This window comes from Homo sapiens, chromosome 5 (assembly GCF_000001405.40).
Source record: "Homo sapiens chromosome 5, GRCh38.p14 Primary Assembly".
NCBI lineage: Eukaryota > Metazoa > Chordata > Mammalia > Primates > Hominidae > Homo > Homo sapiens.
The window spans coordinates 176669279-176686568 of NC_000005.10; the positions used below are offsets into that span (position 1 = coordinate 176669279).

The 17290-nt window shown below is 51.6% G+C and overlaps 4 annotated features.

Annotated features, from left to right (window-relative positions):
• Positions 2322-2887: an enhancer, noted in NCBI's record as "H3K4me1 hESC enhancer chr5:176098601-176099166 (GRCh37/hg19 assembly coordinates)". NCBI's record gives its function as "activates a minimal SCP1, AML or CMV promoter by ChIP-STARR-seq in primed H9 embryonic stem cells {active_cell/tissue: H9 hESC(primed)}" and the evidence as "EXISTENCE:reporter gene assay evidence [ECO:0000049][PMID:30033119]".
• Positions 2888-3451: an enhancer, noted in NCBI's record as "OCT4-NANOG-H3K4me1 hESC enhancer chr5:176099167-176099730 (GRCh37/hg19 assembly coordinates)". NCBI's record gives its function as "activates a minimal SCP1, AML or CMV promoter by ChIP-STARR-seq in primed H9 embryonic stem cells {active_cell/tissue: H9 hESC(primed)}" and the evidence as "EXISTENCE:reporter gene assay evidence [ECO:0000049][PMID:30033119]".
• Positions 10595-11555: an enhancer, noted in NCBI's record as "H3K27ac-H3K4me1 hESC enhancer chr5:176106874-176107834 (GRCh37/hg19 assembly coordinates)". NCBI's record gives its function as "activates a minimal SCP1, AML or CMV promoter by ChIP-STARR-seq in naive H9 embryonic stem cells {active_cell/tissue: H9 hESC(naive)}" and the evidence as "EXISTENCE:reporter gene assay evidence [ECO:0000049][PMID:30033119]".
• Positions 11556-12515: an enhancer, noted in NCBI's record as "H3K27ac-H3K4me1 hESC enhancer chr5:176107835-176108794 (GRCh37/hg19 assembly coordinates)". NCBI's record gives its function as "activates a minimal SCP1, AML or CMV promoter by ChIP-STARR-seq in naive H9 embryonic stem cells {active_cell/tissue: H9 hESC(naive)}" and the evidence as "EXISTENCE:reporter gene assay evidence [ECO:0000049][PMID:30033119]".

Genomic DNA, 17290 nt, shown 5'->3' on the forward strand with positions numbered 1-17290 from the left:
TGTTGGATGAGCTTTGCTCAGTCATGAGTTATAGTTCTGTGGCCATGAGTTCATGCTCACAGATCAACAGCCTCTATATTAAATAAGGTGTCTTTAAACATAAGAACACATGCCACAGATGTATGCATTGGTCAGGTGACCAAAATCTTGTGAGCAGAGGATCTCAGGAACCTAACTCTGCATTTCCCTGGGAGCAATGCTTCCATACCAGTGAATTCAGTGTTCCCGGGAATGTCACAGAACATTACTGCCAGGCATGAGAGCCGGTCATATATGCAGTCATACAGATGCCACCTTTTGAGTCCGGTTTCTGTCACTTAGCATGACGCTGCTGAGATTCATCCCTGTTGTTCTTTTTGTTGCTGAGGAGTATTCCATTGTGGGGCTACGCCAGCTTCTCCATTCACTCAGCAGTTGATGGAGCATTTGGGTTCTTTCCAGTTTTTGGTGATCATGAACAAAGCTGCTGTGAACTTTCGTGTACAAATCCATGTGTGGACATATGTTTTCATTTCCATTCTAAGTGTCAGCTTAGGAGCACATACATTTATTACTTGCTTAATGCTTGCAGTAGCCCTGCAAAGCAGCCTCATTTTATGCATAAGGAGCTGGGCTCGGAGCAGAGCTATGGTGGCCTGCTGAATATCACATGGCTCACAGCAACTGGCACTGGCGCACAATCTCTTCCCTGGGGGAGGCCTGGGGGTCCCTATTCAGAGTGGCCCCATGGTGGGTGGGAGGGCCTTGGCTCTGTCATTGCCTCTCCAGGGGCCTAGAGGTCCTCAGCTGCAAAGTGCAGATTCAGTCCCCTCTGAGATCCCTGAGCTCCAAGCCTGTGATTATGGGGCCTGAGCCACAGCAGCGGGCTGCACCCCAGCCCCACTGCAGCCCTTCACAGGCTGAGCAGGGCTACAGCCAAGACTGACAGGCTGGGTGGGCTGGCTGGCTGGCTTCTAGGGCTTCAGCTGCCCTGAATACATTCCCCTGCTGGAGGTGACGCCACCGGCTTTTGCTTTGGGGGCTCATCCTCCTCTAGCATTTGCAGGGGATGAGCTGCCACCAAGGCCTTACACTCTCTGGAGGAGCTCCACATGCTGAGGGCTTGGCTTGTCTGGCCCTTCTCTATGGTGGGGCTTTGATCCCTGTGCAGAGAACTGACACAGGGACTGAGAAATGGCCAGAGCAGGCTCTAGGCAGCCTTTGCTCTGCACCCTTTCCAGGTTTCTGTGTCCCAGCCATCCAGTGAGCTGCCTGACAACCTCCCAAAGCCTCGCAGAAGCTTTCCGTTGCTTGCGCTCAGCGATCCCTGCATGCCACAGTGGATGCTCCCCTCCCTCGAGCCCCTGAGGCCTCAGCACCAGCTTGTCTCTTAGCAGGCTCTTCCCCTGGACTCCACCTCCTGCCCATCTGTTGGCTCAAGGAAGCCCTGGACTGGGGACAGCCTGGTACTTGACAGCAACTGATGCAGAGGGAAGAGCCCCAGGTCCGGGGAACGAGGACGAAGATCTGGGTGCTGAGTTGTTGCTTGTCCTCTGGGGCTCATCTTCCTCATCTCTAAAATGGGTACCATTTCCACAGTTTCATTCATTGTCATTGACCCCATCTCCTGTGGGTCCCGGCACTGTCCCTGAGGCTGGAAATCAGGGGAGGAGAGGGGCCCAGACAGGCCCCTGCCCTGATGGAGGAGAGGCAGATGCACTGTTGCAGATCTTGGAGATGACAGAGGAAGTCCCAATGCTCTGGGGACCAACTTGGGGCATTGTCCATGTTTTGGCCAGTCCTGGTACCAAAAACTGACTTTGACTACTATTTTTTTTTTTTTTTTTGACAGAGTCTCTCTCTGTTGCCCAAGCTGCAGTGCACTGGTGCAATCTTGGCTTACTGCAACTGCCTCCCAGGTTCAGGTGATTCTCCTGCTTCAGCCTCCCAAGCAGCTGGGATTACAGGCACCTGCCACCACACCTGGTTAATTTTTTTTTTTTTTTTTTTTTTTTGTATTTTTAGTAGAGATGGAGTTTCACCATGTTGACCAGGTTGGTCTTGAACTCCTAACCTCAAATAATCCACCTGCCTCAGCCTCCCAAAGTGTTGGGATTACAGGTGTGAGCCACAGTGCCCGGCCTGACTTTGACTGCCTTAATGCAAGGGGGAATTAATTGGAAGGAAAGGGCAGAAGTCAGGGCCACGCTGGGGAGCTGGGTGGTGAGAACTGAAGGAAAGTCTCTTTAGGGTGTGGCCACTCAGATAAGAAATCCTGCTGAGATTCAAAATTGCACAGAGGGGTGAGTACCCACCAGGGTGGAGGGTGGGTCTCATGACTGGCAGGCTGCCAAGCTGGCCTGCAGTGGGCTCCCCGAAATGTGGGGGAAATGCAGGGAAGGAAAAAGTCCTAAGTGTCCCCTGGTTGGGTGGAGTGGGAGAGTGGTGTCAGGTGAGGCTTGCCGGAAGCACTCAAATGCATGGGAAACAGAACTGTGAACTCCAAGGGGCAGAAACAGCAGAAGGCTTCGGCACTGTGAGCCTCAGAAGTGGCCGGCACCTACCCAGTGGCCAGCCCAGGGAAGGACTTCCCACCTGTTCTCTGATCCAGCGTCTCCACACGGGGGACACTTGTGAAGTTTACGTGGGACGAAAGAAGCCCAGCACATGGGCCTTGGCAGTCCCACCTGGCCCCACCTGCTAGGAATTTAGAAGAGAGCTGCAGAGACCTGGCACACACAAGGCTACCGTCCAGTCACTGAGGTGTGTGGCAAGGGCTGGGGAATGCCCGAAGAGGCGACCCACCTGGACGGCAGGCAGGGGCTTTCAAAGGAGGCCAGGAAGGCTGAGCAGTGTAGGGCCAAGGCTGTGGCAGAAAGGAGGGCATTCCTTGCGTGAGAGACCCTGGGTTTTGATTCTTGGGCCCTGGCTCTACCCTGTGGACCTTGGAGGGAGCAGGGGCCTGGGCAAACAGAGGTGACCTGGGGGTGCGGCAGGAAGGGGAGGGTGGGGTTGGGGAAGAGCTGTTGTGCGGGGCAGGCAGTGGGGAGGCGAGGAGATGGGGTAGGGGGTATGCAGGCCCCTGCAGGTCCTGCAGAGGACACCCCAAGGTTACCTTGGCCTGTGGCTCCGCGGCTCAAGGCTGCTGGCAGCAATGACAACAGCGAACCAGCAGCCTCTCCGAGTTTTATTATCATTCAAATGAGGACGTGGAGAGGTATTTCATTTGATTGGTAGAATAATAGGAGCCATTTATCTACCTTCTCTCAACCTTTCATATCTGTTTCACTATTTTATGGGATCGCATACATCATAGTAAAGGCAAAAATGTATTTTTTTCCCTTGACTTGGGGCTGGGGGGGGCAGCAGGGATGGGAAGGAGGCTCTCAGAGTGGCTGGCAGGAGCTGAAGGAAATGAAATCGAAAAAGACTATTATTGGTGACAGACAGTTACATCTGAAAGGGAATAAGAAACTCCCCAATGCGGGCACAGAGAGGAGTTTTAAATGGAAGATCTAACAGCCTCCAGCTCTAGGTCCATTGAGAGGCAGAGGACTGAGGGAGGCGTGAGGGGTGGGGGGCGAGACAGGGGGTGTGGCGGGGCATGGGGCGGGGGGGCTTCAGGGAGCCAGGAGGGTCCTTGAGGGAAACAGCAATGAGGCTGGCACAAGGGGCATGTGGTCCAGCTGTTGGAATTCTTTGTCTTTCTTGGGTTATGATAAATTACACGTGTCATACAAGGATCCATTCTCCTTTTGAAAACACTAGAACATCACAGGTAAAGACCCTGTGACCATCAGCCCCAATCCCAGCGCCCTCTACCCTTCCCAGAAGTAACAACTGTTAAGATTTTTTCCTCTTGATTTTACAAATATATAAAGATGCCTTAAAAGAGGTAATACTCTTTTGTGAATTCCCACCCCACCATCCCCCTCCCTTTTTTTTTTTTTTTTTTTTTTTTTGTTTTTTGGGACAAGGTCTCACTCTGTGGCCCAGGCTGGAGTGCAGTGGTGTGCTCTCAGTTCACTGCAGCCTTGACCTCCTGGGCTGAAGTGATCCTCCTGCTTCAGCCTCCAGAGTAGCTGGGACTACAGGTGTGCACCACCACACCGGCTAATTTCATTTTTAGTAGAGGCGGGGTCTCCCTGTATTCACAACCCAGGCTGGTCTTGAATTCCTGCGTTCAAGCCATCTTCCCAAAGTGCTGGGATTACAAGCATGAGCCACCACACCTGGCCCTTTACCCCTTTCTTAAAAGGTGTCACGCTGTCTCATTCAGCTCCTTGGTTTTTCTCACTGGACATATTTTTGAGCCTTGTGTGGGTCTGGGTCACTCCTGGAGCTGTCCGGGGTGCTCCTGTCTGTGATTGTCCTGTGCTGTAGCCCCCGGTGCCCCCCGATGAACCCTTGGGTGGCTTCCAGCTTTTCACAATGACAAAGAATGCTTCGAGGGGTCTGGGCAAGGCTTTCTTGAGGGCAGGTGAGCAGTGAACTCTCCGGTGGGGAGGGGTGCATTTTCAGCTGGAGGAGACACTGTCCCATTGCTGTCCAAAGTGTCTGTGGTGGGGCTGCAGCCAGCTGGCCACCGCGAGGGGAAGCGCGCAGCTGTTCTTGCACGAAGGTTCCCCATGAGGTCGTCTTGGGCAGCAAGTTGGTGGCAGAGAGGGGAACAGCAAAGCCCTGGCTGGACAGGGTGTCAGAGCAGAAGTGGGAAGGCGGGACCCACAGAGCTCCAGGGGACCCCTGGAGCTCCAGGTGCAACCCCACTGGGTGGGGGTGGGTGAGGTTCCTGGGAGGCACGCAAAGGGCAAACGGGCAAGACCCGGGATGTGAAGGCTGGCTGCAGGCTCGGGCTGGGTGAGAACCAGCAGCACTTGGTGTGGCTGGCAGGGTAGCCCGCCAGCACAGCCAAGGGGGCAGGGTAAAGGCAAAACTCAGGTCTCTGGGTGGTGCCAGCACAGGGCAGGGGTGTGCAGAGCATGGGCATAGAGAGTCCTCCAGGGGCCCTGGCTCCCTGACAGCAGCACAGAGACAGGGAGGGGGTTCCCTCCGAGCATGGGAGACAACTCAAGGCCTACCAGGTATGGGGCTGAGGCTCCCTGCTCAGGCCCCCCATCCCCCACCATGGGATGGCACTTGGTCCCAGCCCTCAGAGATGTGATGGGAGCAGGTGGGGGAAGGAGGCGGGTGGCCTGGTGGGAACTGGGCTCTCTATCCTGGGAGACTCTTAGGTTCCGGAACCCTCTTAAGAGTCCAGCTGCAAGACTTAGAAGGAGTTTCTTAAACAACCAAACAAACAAAAAAACCAAACCAAGCCAAACAAAACAAAAAAAAAAGTGTTATTGAGATGTAATCCACATACCATACAATTTGCCCCCTTAAAGTATACAATTCAGTGGTTTTTAGTATATTCACAGATATGTGCCACCTTGATCACGGTCAATTTAGAGCATTTTCATCACCTCCAAAAGAAACCCTTTAGCTATCACCCTATCTCCACGATCACAAATCTCCGCACTGTTGCTATAGGTTTTCCTGGTCCGGGCATCTCACAGGAGAGCACGCGCATGGTGTGTGGTCTTCTGCACCGGGCTCCCTTCATTCAGCACCACGTTTGCAGGGATCGTGTGCGCTGGGGCCTATAACCAGCACTTCCTTCCTTCTGAGGCCGAACGATGCACCACATTTTGTTCATTCATTCATCAGTCGATGAACACTTAGGTTATTCTCACCTTTTTTTGACTTCGGATGGCCCCTGACTTACGATGGTTTGACTTCATGGTTTTTGACCTTACAGTGGTGTGAAAGCCACATCCATTCAGGAGAAACTGTACTCTGAGCACCCATGCGAGCATTCTGCCATGAGATGTTCAACGCTTTATTATAAAAAAGGTTTTGTGGGGCCGGGTGCGGTGGCTCATGCCTGTAAACCCGCCAAGGTGGGTGGATCACTTGAGGTAAGGAGTTCGAGACCAGTCTGGCCAACATGGCGAAACCCTGTCTCTATTAAAAATACAAAAAACAGCCGGATGTGGTGGCACGTGCCTGTAGTCCCAGCTACTCGGGAGGCTGAGGCAGGAGAATGACTTGAACCCGGGAGGTGGAGTTTGCAGTGAGCCCAGATCGCACCATTGTGCTCCAGCCTGAGCAACAGAGTGAGACTCCATCTCAAAAAATAATAATAATAATAATCGAAAAAATATATAACAAAAATAAAAACACAATAAAAATAATAAAAATAAAAAAGGCTTTGTGTTAGATGATCTTGCCCAACTCATGTCAATGCTCTGAGCACGTTTAAGATAGGCTAGGGTGAGCTATGATATTCAGAACGTTCGATGTCTTAAATGCATCTTCAACTTACGATTATTTCCAACTTAGAATGGGTTTATCGTAAGTGGAGGAGCATTTGTACTATGAATAACATTGCTATAAACATTCGTGTACACGTTTCAACGTGGACATATGTTTTCATTTCTCTTGGGTGTGTGTACCTACGGGTGGAATTGTTGGGCCATTTGGTGGCTCTGTTTCAGGAACTGCCAGACTGTTTTCCACAGGGCCGCAGCCACTTCACATTCCCACCAGCAGGGCGTGAGGGTTCTGACTTCACACTTCTCACCAACACACATTATCTGACTTTTAAATTCTAGTCATCCTAGTGGGAGGAGTCGCTTTTTGAGGAAACTTCAAAAGCAGGTGGGGCTAGGTGAGGTGCCTCACACCTGTGATCCCAGCACTTTGGAAGGCCAAAGTCGGAGGATCGCTTGAGCCCTGGAGTTCGAGGCCAGCCCGGGCAACATAGCGAGACCCCTGTCGCTACAAAAAATTAAAAAATTAGTTGGGCATGGTGACATGTGCCTGTAGTCCCAACTGCTTGGGAGGCTGAGGCAGGAGGATCACTTAAGCCCAGGACTTTGAGGTTGCAGTAAGCCATGATCGCGCTACGGCACTCCAGCCTGGGCGATAGAGCCAGACCCTGTCTCAAGAAAAAAAAAAGAAAAAGAAAAAAAAAAGCAGGTGGCAGAGCTAGCTTGGTGCACCTCTGGGCTCCAGGACTGTCGGGAGTCTGTGTTGGCTTCATCTCAGTCTGACCCCGGCCACACGAGCAGCTTCAGCCACTTCCTGATCTGACCTTGGAACTCGGAGTCCCCCTCCCAGTGGTTCCTGCAAAGCCCCAGGGGGACTCGGAGTGGCCTCCTCTTGACAGTCAGTTGTGAGTCAGCAATTTCCTCTCATGATTAAGACGGTCCCAGGGGAGCTTTGGTCACTTGGAACCTAAAGACACTTGACTGATCCCATTGGTCCTCCTGAGTGGCTCAGAGTCTGGGAGGCCGCCAGGGCCCAGGTCACACTTCCTGGCCTGACCAGACCAATGAGCCCATCGCCTGGAATCTGCAAGCCCCTCCGTTGAGCTGGGAGCCCTTCGAGGGACTCCTGCTTGCATTAAACCTATACCAGTGCTTTCTGAGTTTCACTCTCCCCCCTGGGGTGTGATGATGATACCGCCCATCCCTGAGGGGCCTGTGACAAACGCTACCCCTTTATACATCCTGGCTCTGATATGAACAGCCTTTTTCTTGGGTCCCTGAACACACTTTGTCACTGCTGGGGCTTAACAAAGCCTTCCTGAACGCCCAGGAGAGCAGCAGGGACCTAACAGAGGACTCCAGAGGCTCAGACCCAGCCCCGCACGGCTCCTCCACCCCAAATTCAGCCCCGGGGTCTTGTTCACCAACTGCTGGGTCAGAGGTCCTGATTTCCATGTCTACTTGCTGCTGGGTGACAGGGCAGCTTTCCCTGGCCCCTGCCAGGGGGTCCCCAACCAGGCATCTCACTGATTTCATGGACCTGCCCCAGAGAGGGGCACCCAGTTCTGTAGTACCCATCCCCCCAGGGCTGCCCCCACTTCCAGTTTTCCAGGGGGTAGCACTGTGATGTCACCCCTAGTGAGGGCCGTTTTGTTCCTGTCACACTCCCCACTACCACAACAACTAGGCCCTATCCTTGAGGGATGCAGGCTGCACAGAGAAGCAGAGAAACAAGAGAAGGGAAACCTTAGCTGTGGAGCTTCCAAAGTCCAGGTCCTACCACATGCAGTACATTTGGAACGCTCTCTGCACAGCATGTGTCTCCCCCTCAGCATGGACAGATGAGGTTAAACATTGTCTAGCTGTGGAGGACAGAAGAATATAAGGAACTAAGGGAGAGGGCTCTCCTGGGCTGGGTGGGGGTACGCCTGGGGAAGGATAAGCCCCCAGGGGCAGCTGCAGCTCTGATCTCGGGATTGGTGGGGCTGAACCTCATTTCCTGGGAGGGGCAAGGTCCCCAGGTGCCCTGTGCCCTGAGAAGGCCAGGAGACTCTAGACAGGGAGTGAGCGGTGGTGGCTCAACAGAGGGCCTGTGACAGCCCAGCGAGCTCCCCAGCCCCAGTGCCCTGTAGGGAGCGGCCAAGTTCTCAAGGAGGGCCTGGAAGGGAGTCCCAGTTGTGACAAGAGGAGGCCACAGCCAAAACTTGCTTGGCCCTTACAAGCAGAGACCAGATGGGGACGCAGACAGCTCATCGGCTGCCAACTCGGAACAGAGATGACAGCCAAGAACCACATGTCCCAGTGTATGTCTTGGGGGTGCCAGCAGGGATGACATCGACCGATGACCCATCTGCCACCTCCCCTGATGTTTATGATGTCACCCATATTTGCTGGGATCTGTGGGGTCCAAGAGATGGGGGAGGGGGCCCTGAATCTTCTGAGTTGAAGCTGACAGAGCTGAACTGAACTCAAGACTTTTCTGCTACTCAGTAGAAAACGGAGGTTGGAAAGGAAGCATGCATATAGTAGGAAAGTAAGGTGGTGGTTTTGGCACACCTGCGTGAGTGGCCTGAACATTCACACCCACAATCCAGGGCTGAATGAGGGACAGTGAATGCAGCCTTTGGTGGGGTGGCTCTTCCTCCCCGTCCCTGGTCATGTGATGGGCACTGGTGTGTACCTGAGCATTTCCTCCTCGCTCTCCCTCCTGGGGGTAGGTGTCAGGGGAACAGAGAGGGCTGGGTGAGTGGTGAACACAGCCATCTATCTTCCTGCTCCCCAAGTCCCCCTTTGGTGAGGATGTTGCCAGGAGCAGGCAAGAGCTGGGAGGGCAGGTAGTGATGACTAGGAAGGAAAGAGGCAGTCCCGGGTGCCTGGGTGACCTGGTGGCCAGAGGAGAGGGAGAGGCCTGGAGGAGGCTGGGACAGAGGAAGGCTCAGAGGAGGCACTGGGCGGTGGTCAGCAGACTTAAGAGCCAGAATCCACTTCCGGTTCCTGGGCATATTCCCTAAGCAATCGGAGCCTCCGGTCCTCACCCCAAACAAGGTGGGCTCCACATGTCTGCCTGGCCCACATCTTTCTCCTTCCTGGTTCTCACTTGGGAAACCTTCATCTCCCAGTAGTTTAGGCAGTGCTGACCCTGGCCTCTGGCTTCAGGCCTGGCCAATGGGGCTATATTCTTGCACCCTTGTTGGAACTGTTGGCCGAGGGAAGCTGGCTGTCTGCCAAGATGGCTGAGCTGAGCAGTGAGCGCCCGTGGGCCCCTCCTTGCTGATCTCCCCAAGCTGGGCCCAGGCCCCTGCCAGGCCCTTTGCACCTGCTGCTCACTTCCCTGGGGTGCCTTCTCCTCTGACCTTCACCTTCAGCTCCTCTCATCTGAGGCTCAGCCCAGTGGCCCTACTCAGAGAGGCCAACTTGGCTCCCTTTAAAGCAGTCCCCAGTCCTGTCCCAGGGCCTTCCCTATGTCTGCGTTTCTTCCCAGCACTCACCACCATCCGAGATGAGCTCCTGAGCTACTTTAACTGACCATCTCCTCCTCTGATATCAGCCGCCAAGAGCAGGGACCTTGTTGCGCTCCTTCCCAAGCCAGGGCCCAGCACAGAGCAGAGGCTCAGCAGTCCCTGCCTGGACACCGAATGCTACTGAGAACTCTGTGCCTGGTGTGGGGCAGAGTCTCCAAGGTCACAAACCCATCTTGGGGGTGCAAAATCCCTGCTAAGGTTTTCTAAAACAAAACTTAATTTCTGTCTTGAGTCCCCATTAGAGTAAATTCAGGATAAATTTGGCCCATTTTGGGGTGTTCTTGGTCCATTTGTGGTTGCACTCAGGTGGAGGAGGGACCCAGGAAGGGTCAAGGCCTCGAGTGGGGCCAAACTCCCCAGACATCTGTGTGACCTCAACGCTGCACCCACAACCCAGGGGTCTCTGCCTTCCACACTGGCTCCACATAGTCCTCCGTCCTGCCTGGTACAGGATCCATCCCTGCCGCATGCCCCTCTTAGACCACCAGGGTCCCCCGTCACGTCCCAGGACCAATCTGGTGACCCCTCTGCTTCAAGACATACATTCTGCCTCAGTGGGGGCACATGGGGACTCTAAGTTACCCCCATCCATTCTGTCCAGGCCCCTCCCACAGGAGTTAGGAGGGGCTGTCTTGGTGGCTGGTGACCTGATGAGTGGGTGTCTCCGTGGGCCCCACTGCTCCCCTCCGAACATCCCCCTGCCTGGGATCCCCAGACTCCTTACAGGGCCAGGCTAGCTCCTCTCCCTGTCACCCTGGGGCTCTGCCAGCTACCAGGCAGGAGGCTGTCAACACCGGGAGGAGGACATATCCGAGGCATCTCGGACGCCAAGCGTGAGTGAGCAAGGCTCGTCCTGCTAAGGGTCTGGGGACGTGACTGGGTGTGCAGAGGAAGAGAGAGGCCAGGCTCAGGCTTCATCTTGTTTAATCCGTGGAGGACCTAGGGGATCCCTGTTTAGACCCCTGCAGGCTGCAGTGCCGCTCTGCTCCGGCCTTAGCGCCTCCCCGCAGCTCAGAGGATGGGACTGGGGTCCAGCTCCCTGCCCGCCCCGCACCCCGTACCCCGCAGCCTGTCCGTCCATCCGCCCCGCTTCACTTCGCTGTCCCCTGTCGGGGTTCGAGTCGCAGCCTCCAGCCTCAACCCGCACCTCCCGCCCTGCAGCTCAACTCTCGCCTCCGCTGCAATTTATTACTGGAGGCCGCAGAACCAGCGGCGTGGAGTGCGCCTCCCGGGAGCCGCCGCTGTCGGAGAAAGGCACCCACCCGCCTGGGCCGGCTCCCGGGCGCGGGGCGGTGTCTCAGGGAGGCGTCTCAGCCGAGCTGCAGGGCGAGGGGAGCGAGCCGGGTCCCGGGGGAAGGCATCCGGTCAGGGCCTCGCCCACCCGGATGGCTCCTGCGCCACGGGGCCTGAGCTCCGCCTTTGGGATCCGCGAGGATTGGAGACTGGGGACCCGGCAGCAGAGGGTCCAGGCAGAAAAGCTCCGTGTGGCCCCCAGGGAGGGTGGATTTAAAGAAAACCAGTCACATTAAAAAGCCAGGGTTCATGGAAATACTTGGACTGCTGGCTTCTCCTGAAAAACGGGCAGTCGACACCGGGTGGCCTTCCACAAGGCAAACCTGGGGGGCAGCCCCGTTTAGAAGGCCCGGCTGCCCTCTTCAGTCACCCAGCGCCTCGCCAGACCCCAGGGGACATTGGGGCTTGAGACCCCTGCTCTGCGTGGGGCACAGCAGAGGCCAAGGGAGACTGTGGCCCAGCTGTTCCACGGGCTTCTGGAGGCCAAGGACTCTCTCTTTTTGTTTTTATCTTTGTATATTACTCTGGTACATAAAGGCTGGCATATAAAAGTGTTGAATAAATAAATTTTCAATGAACAGCTGAATGAATGATGATGGTGATGAATGAATGAATGGATGGTGATGACTACCCAGAATTATAATCAAGTGGATGAGACTCAACCACTTGAAAAGGTGAGTCCACATTGCAGGCCAAGGAAGCAGAGGTGCAGAAGCTGGGGGCCCCTGAAGGAGTCCAGGGCACTTGGGGTGGAGTGGGGACCAGGGCAGCGTGGCTGCCCAGGGGTGGCAGGAAGGCCAGGCTGAGGGGCTGGAATTTGAGCTTCCTGGCTGCTTTACTATCCAGTCACCTGAGCTTTAAACACCCCAAGTCTGGGGCCACCCTCCAGGCCCAGGAAATCAGACTCTTCACCGGTGGGTGGGGCAATCTGTGCTTTAAAAATGTTGCCGGTTGGGCGCGGTGGCTCACGCCTGTAATCCCAGCACTTTGGGAGGCGGAGGCGGGCGGATCACGAGGTCAGGAGATGGAGACCAGCCTGGCCAACATGGTGAAACCCAGTCTCTACTAAAAATACAAAAATTAGCCGGACAGGGTGGCGCGCGCCTGTAATCCCAGCTGCTAGGGAGGCTGAGGCAGGAGAATCGCTTGAACCCGGGAGGCGGAGCTTGCAGTGAGCCGAGGTCGTGCCACTGCACTCCAGCCTGGCGACAGAGACAAACTCCGTCTCAAAAAAAACCAAAAAAGTTCTCCCAGGAGATTTTGGAGCCCCCAAAAGCTGCATGGCGGGGAAGTGATTATCTGCCACGGGTCTGCTGCTGCATCCATCCCTCTTCCTGTCCCGCCTCCCAGGGCCGGGTGTCTTTCTAAAGCCACGGGTCACCTTTCTGAGTGGTGGTCAGGCCCTGGGGGTCCATCTTAGCCACTCACCGTATTTTAAGTAAGTTTTAGAGGGAAGGAAAAGTATGAAATGACTGTGTTTGTTTTGCCCAAGCAAATCCATTTATAAAGTGCAGCACTTGTTTAAGAAAAAAACAACAGCTATTGACAAAATATAAGAAAATAAATTAAAGCCGCAGCTTCTTAAAAGGACCCTGTCCGATAATTTGATTTTTTCCCCCTTCTTCCCTCAAAGGCCAGAACGACACAATCAATCTTGCTGTTCCATAGGCTGTCTCATTACAGCTTTTTCTTAAGTGGAAAAAGAAAAAGAAAAAGAAAAAGAAAAAGAAAAAAAGTGGAAAGAAACTGAGTGCCATCTACAGCACCATCACCTCCTGCCCTACAGTAGATCCGCAGGGACCCTCTGTCTCCCCTGCCCCAGCCTTCTTGTCCTGCTGTAGCCCAGCTCTGACCCCCACCCTACCCCAGCTATGCCCTCCAGATGGGACCAATCAACTGGTCTTAGATGAGACTGGTCAGCTCAGAGGCCTTCCCGCCAAATCTCATGACCCATAGACTCTGTGGGGATCCTATCTTAAGTCGTCAAGTGGGTCAGTCATCAAATTTCTCATCCTGACAGCCTCATCCAAATAACTGACATTTTTCATGAGTAAAATACATAGCAGAACGCAGGTGTGCTGAGGGCTTTGCACACCCGGGTGAAACCCCTCTGCATGCAGCACTTTGCTTCCAACATAATGCAGATCTCAGGTGGAGGAGCTCCCACCACCTCCACCTCCTTATACGACCCTCTTCCTCAAATGTTGCCCTGCGTGGTTACCATCCATCCCGTCAGCCACACACACTGGGTGCCTGCCCAACATTGATGGCACTCTGATCATCCCCCACGATGAGGACAGGTAAGGTTTTTAGGGAATAAAACCAGTTTTAAAAGGCAGTCCCACCTGTGTTTAGATCCAAGGCCATAGCATGTCCTTGGCCAGATCACTGCCTCCCTGTGAGTTTCTCCATCCAGAGAGCGAGGTCAATAACACCCAGGGGTGGTTGTGAGGATTGAATGTGCAGCCATATGTAATCATCATCATCATACTTTATAATCGAGCACTTGCTCGTTGCCTGATCCTGAGTCATCATTCCTTTCTGACATTATCAGATTAAGTCTTCAGTTCATATTATTTGCCTTACTTTACAGGTGAGAAAACAGACATGCAGAGAGGTTAGGTTAATTGCCTTTGGTCTTATAACTAATAAGAGGGAAGGGTTTTTTATTGTGGGGGGTTTTCTAGAACCTGTGCCCCCCTTGCTTGTTAGTCCCCGTTTCCCTCTGGAAAGTTCCCCACCAAGTGTGGTCTTTGAGGAGAGCAGTGATGGTGCTACCTCTCACAGTGGAAGCTCTAGGGCAGCTTGTCCCAGGCTGTGGGGCCAGAAGTAAACTCAGCTGAGACCCTCAACCAGTCTTCAGTCCTTGGTGCTCTCAGATTTGGTCCCCCAGCCTCCGTGGATTCAGATAACCCCAAATTTACCTTCCCTTTTTGCTTAATATGGGCAGAGTCTCTCTGTAGCTTGCAACCCCAGGACTCTGCTTGCAACAAAATGAGTAATAATAATAATATACCAAAAGTAGCTATTATTTCTTGAGCATTTATTATGTGCTAGGTCTTGAGATAAAGAGCTTTATAGATGTTACGGTGTCTCAACCTTGCTACCTCATACAATTGTCCCTGTTTTACAGGCAAGAAAACTGAGGATCATATACATTTGGATTCTTGCCTGGCATCACACAGCTGGATGGAGGGCCAGGGGCTCAAACCCTGAGCTGCCTGAGCATAAGTCTGTGAGCATAAAACTCTGTTGGTGTGCCTGACATAAGAGGCGCTTACTCGGTGATGGCTTTAGCACCATGTATGCATGCACTGGGTCTGTTAAAAATTAGTGGGGAGGTTCTAGTTGGAGGTAAGATGAAGTAGACACACTCCACCTTGTCTCTCCCACAAAATGCAGCTTCAAACCTGGACTAATTGCATGAATTACCTCCTTTAAGTCTCTGAAAAAAAGACCAGTTATCAAAGTAACACCAAATTGGTGGTAAGTTTACTATTTTTCCCCCATCCAATATCCCCTGAATTGAAACCCCTGAATTCAATGCAGCCAAAAACCTTGAAGTGGATATCAGCATCTATAGAGAGATCTCCAGGGAAAACCCTCTGATTCTGGCTTCGGGACCAAGAAAGGGGTCTTCCACTGCTCCCGGTGAGTGAAGAAGCCTCCTATTTTTTTTTCTTTTTCTCTTTTTCTATTCTCTCCTGCCACAGCCCCTAAGCAATGATGTGGCAGTAGCACTAGCAACAGTAGCAACAGCAGCAGCGAAAGCTGGCGGGAACCTAAAACTCTAAGGAAGGGGAATTTTCCTCTCCAGTTGGAGGAGCCGTGGTCCATGAAGGTGGGGCAAACCCCTGCTGCTTTGCTATCTCTGGTGCTTGGGCTCAACTCATACAGTCACAGGAAATGCATGGCAGAGGAGAAATAAAGCCCCAGATTTCTGGCCCAAGCACTGGACAAGGGGAACCTCAGTGAACCAGAAAGTATAGGAGAGATCTCAGAGAGAGAAGAGCTGGAAAAAGTGATCCCTTAAAGTTGTTTGTGAAATCCTGGGCTCCTTCCCAAAATGTGCATGATCTGTACAGGATTAGACCTTAAACTGCATACTTGAGAACTGAACTACGGGATAGTGCACTGCTCAAATCCCAGATTAGCCATGGGGTGGTACATACGGGGCAGATTCAAATAGTGAAATAGCAAAAAAATAAAATAAGTAATAAAAAAATGAATAAATAGCAAAACTTTGTAAATTGAACTGACATTGGAACCACAGGCCACAGGAGGCTGTTGGGAACTTATGACCTGAACTCACCTGGATCATTTGCCTGCTAACAGAAAAATACCAAAAATTTCTCTATATAGAAAGAACCAGGAGTGGCTGGGCACAGTGGCTCATACCTGTAATCTCAGCACTTTGGGAGGCCAAGGTGGGTGGATCACCTGAGGTCAGGGGTTTGAGACAAGCCTGGCCAACATGGTGAAACCCCATCTCTACTAAAAATACAAAAATCAGCTGGGTGTGGTGGCGTGTGCCTATAATTCCAGTGACTCAGGCAATTCCAGCTATTCAGGAGGCTGAGACGGAGAATCGCTTGAACTAGGGATGTGGAGGTTGCAGTGAGCTGAGATTGTGCCACTGCACTCCAACCTGGGTGACAGAGCAAGTCTCCATCTCAAAAAGAAAAAAAAAAGAACCAGGAAAGGCTCAACTCACTCAGGAAAAGATGCCAATGCTGAGGCTACTTTGCTGAGATATCAGACTTTACAGCATCTATTATGAAAGTGGTGCAATGTGTAAGAGCAAACACTCTTGAAATGAATGGAAAGTCTCAGCCAAGAAACAAGATACCAAGAAGAACCAAGTGGAAATTTAGAACTGCAAAAGACAATAACAAGAATCTCCCTGGATGGGCTCAATAGCAAAATGGAGATGATAGAGGAAGAATCCAGTGAACTTGAAGATAGATCAATAGAAGTCATCCAATTTGAATGACAGGCAAAAAAGAGTGTTTAAAAAATGAGCAGAACTTCAGGGACCCATGAGGAAACACCAAAAGTTCTAACATTCTTATCATTTGAATTCTGGAAGGAGAGAAGAAATAAATAGGGTCTGGAAAAAATATGTAAAGAAATCATGGTGAAAATTTTCCAACTTTGGTGAAAAACATAAACCTACAGATGTAATAAGCTCAGTGAATCCTAAACAGAAGAAACCCAAAGAAATCTGTGACCAGAAAATCATAATCAAACTTCTGACAATGAAAAATGAAGACAAAATCTTGAAAGCAAGCCCAAAAAAATGACACATTTCCTATAGGGGAAAAATGATTCAAATGACTCTGGATTTCTCATCAGAAACCATGAAGGCCAGCAAAAGTGGAACGACAGTTTTAAGGTGCTTAAACAAAACAAAACAAAATAAGAAAAGAACTGTCAAATCATAAGTCTTTAGAAGAAATACCTTCTGGATGAAGGTAAAATAAAGACATTTTCAGATGAAGGAATGCTAGGAGGATTTGTTACTGGGAGACTTGCACTAAAAGACTGCTACAACAAATTCTTTAGACAGAAAGAGATCATAGTAGAAGGAAATGTGTAACATCAGGAATAAATGGAGAGCAGAGGAAATGGTAAATATTTGGATAAATATAATAGGCTATTTTTTCTCTTGTTGAGCTCTTTAAAATATGTCTGACGGTTAAAACAAACAAACAAAAAAACATTGTGTGGTAGGGTTTTCAGTGGCTGTAGATGTAATATAGAAGACAAATATAACATAAAAGGGAGAGGATAAAGGGACCTACACAGCAGTAAGTTCTTTACACTTCACATGAAGTAGACTGAGAAGAGTTAAGTATGTCTATTGCATTTTCTAGAACAACCTCTAAAAAAACTATTCAAAGAGATATAGTAAAAAGTTAAATAAATAAATTAAAATCAAATACATTCATAGGAAAACAAATAACTTAAGCCTTACATTTTACACAAAAATTAACTCTATTTTTTCTTTTTTGAGGAAGGGTCTCATCCTGTCTCCTAGGCTGGAGTGCAGTGGTCAATCACAGCTCACTGCAGCCTTGACCTCCTGGGCTCAGATGATGCTCCTACCTCAGCCTCCTGAGTAGCTGGGACCATAGGTGTGCTCCACCATGCCTGGCTATTTTTTTTTTTTTTTTTTTTTGAGAT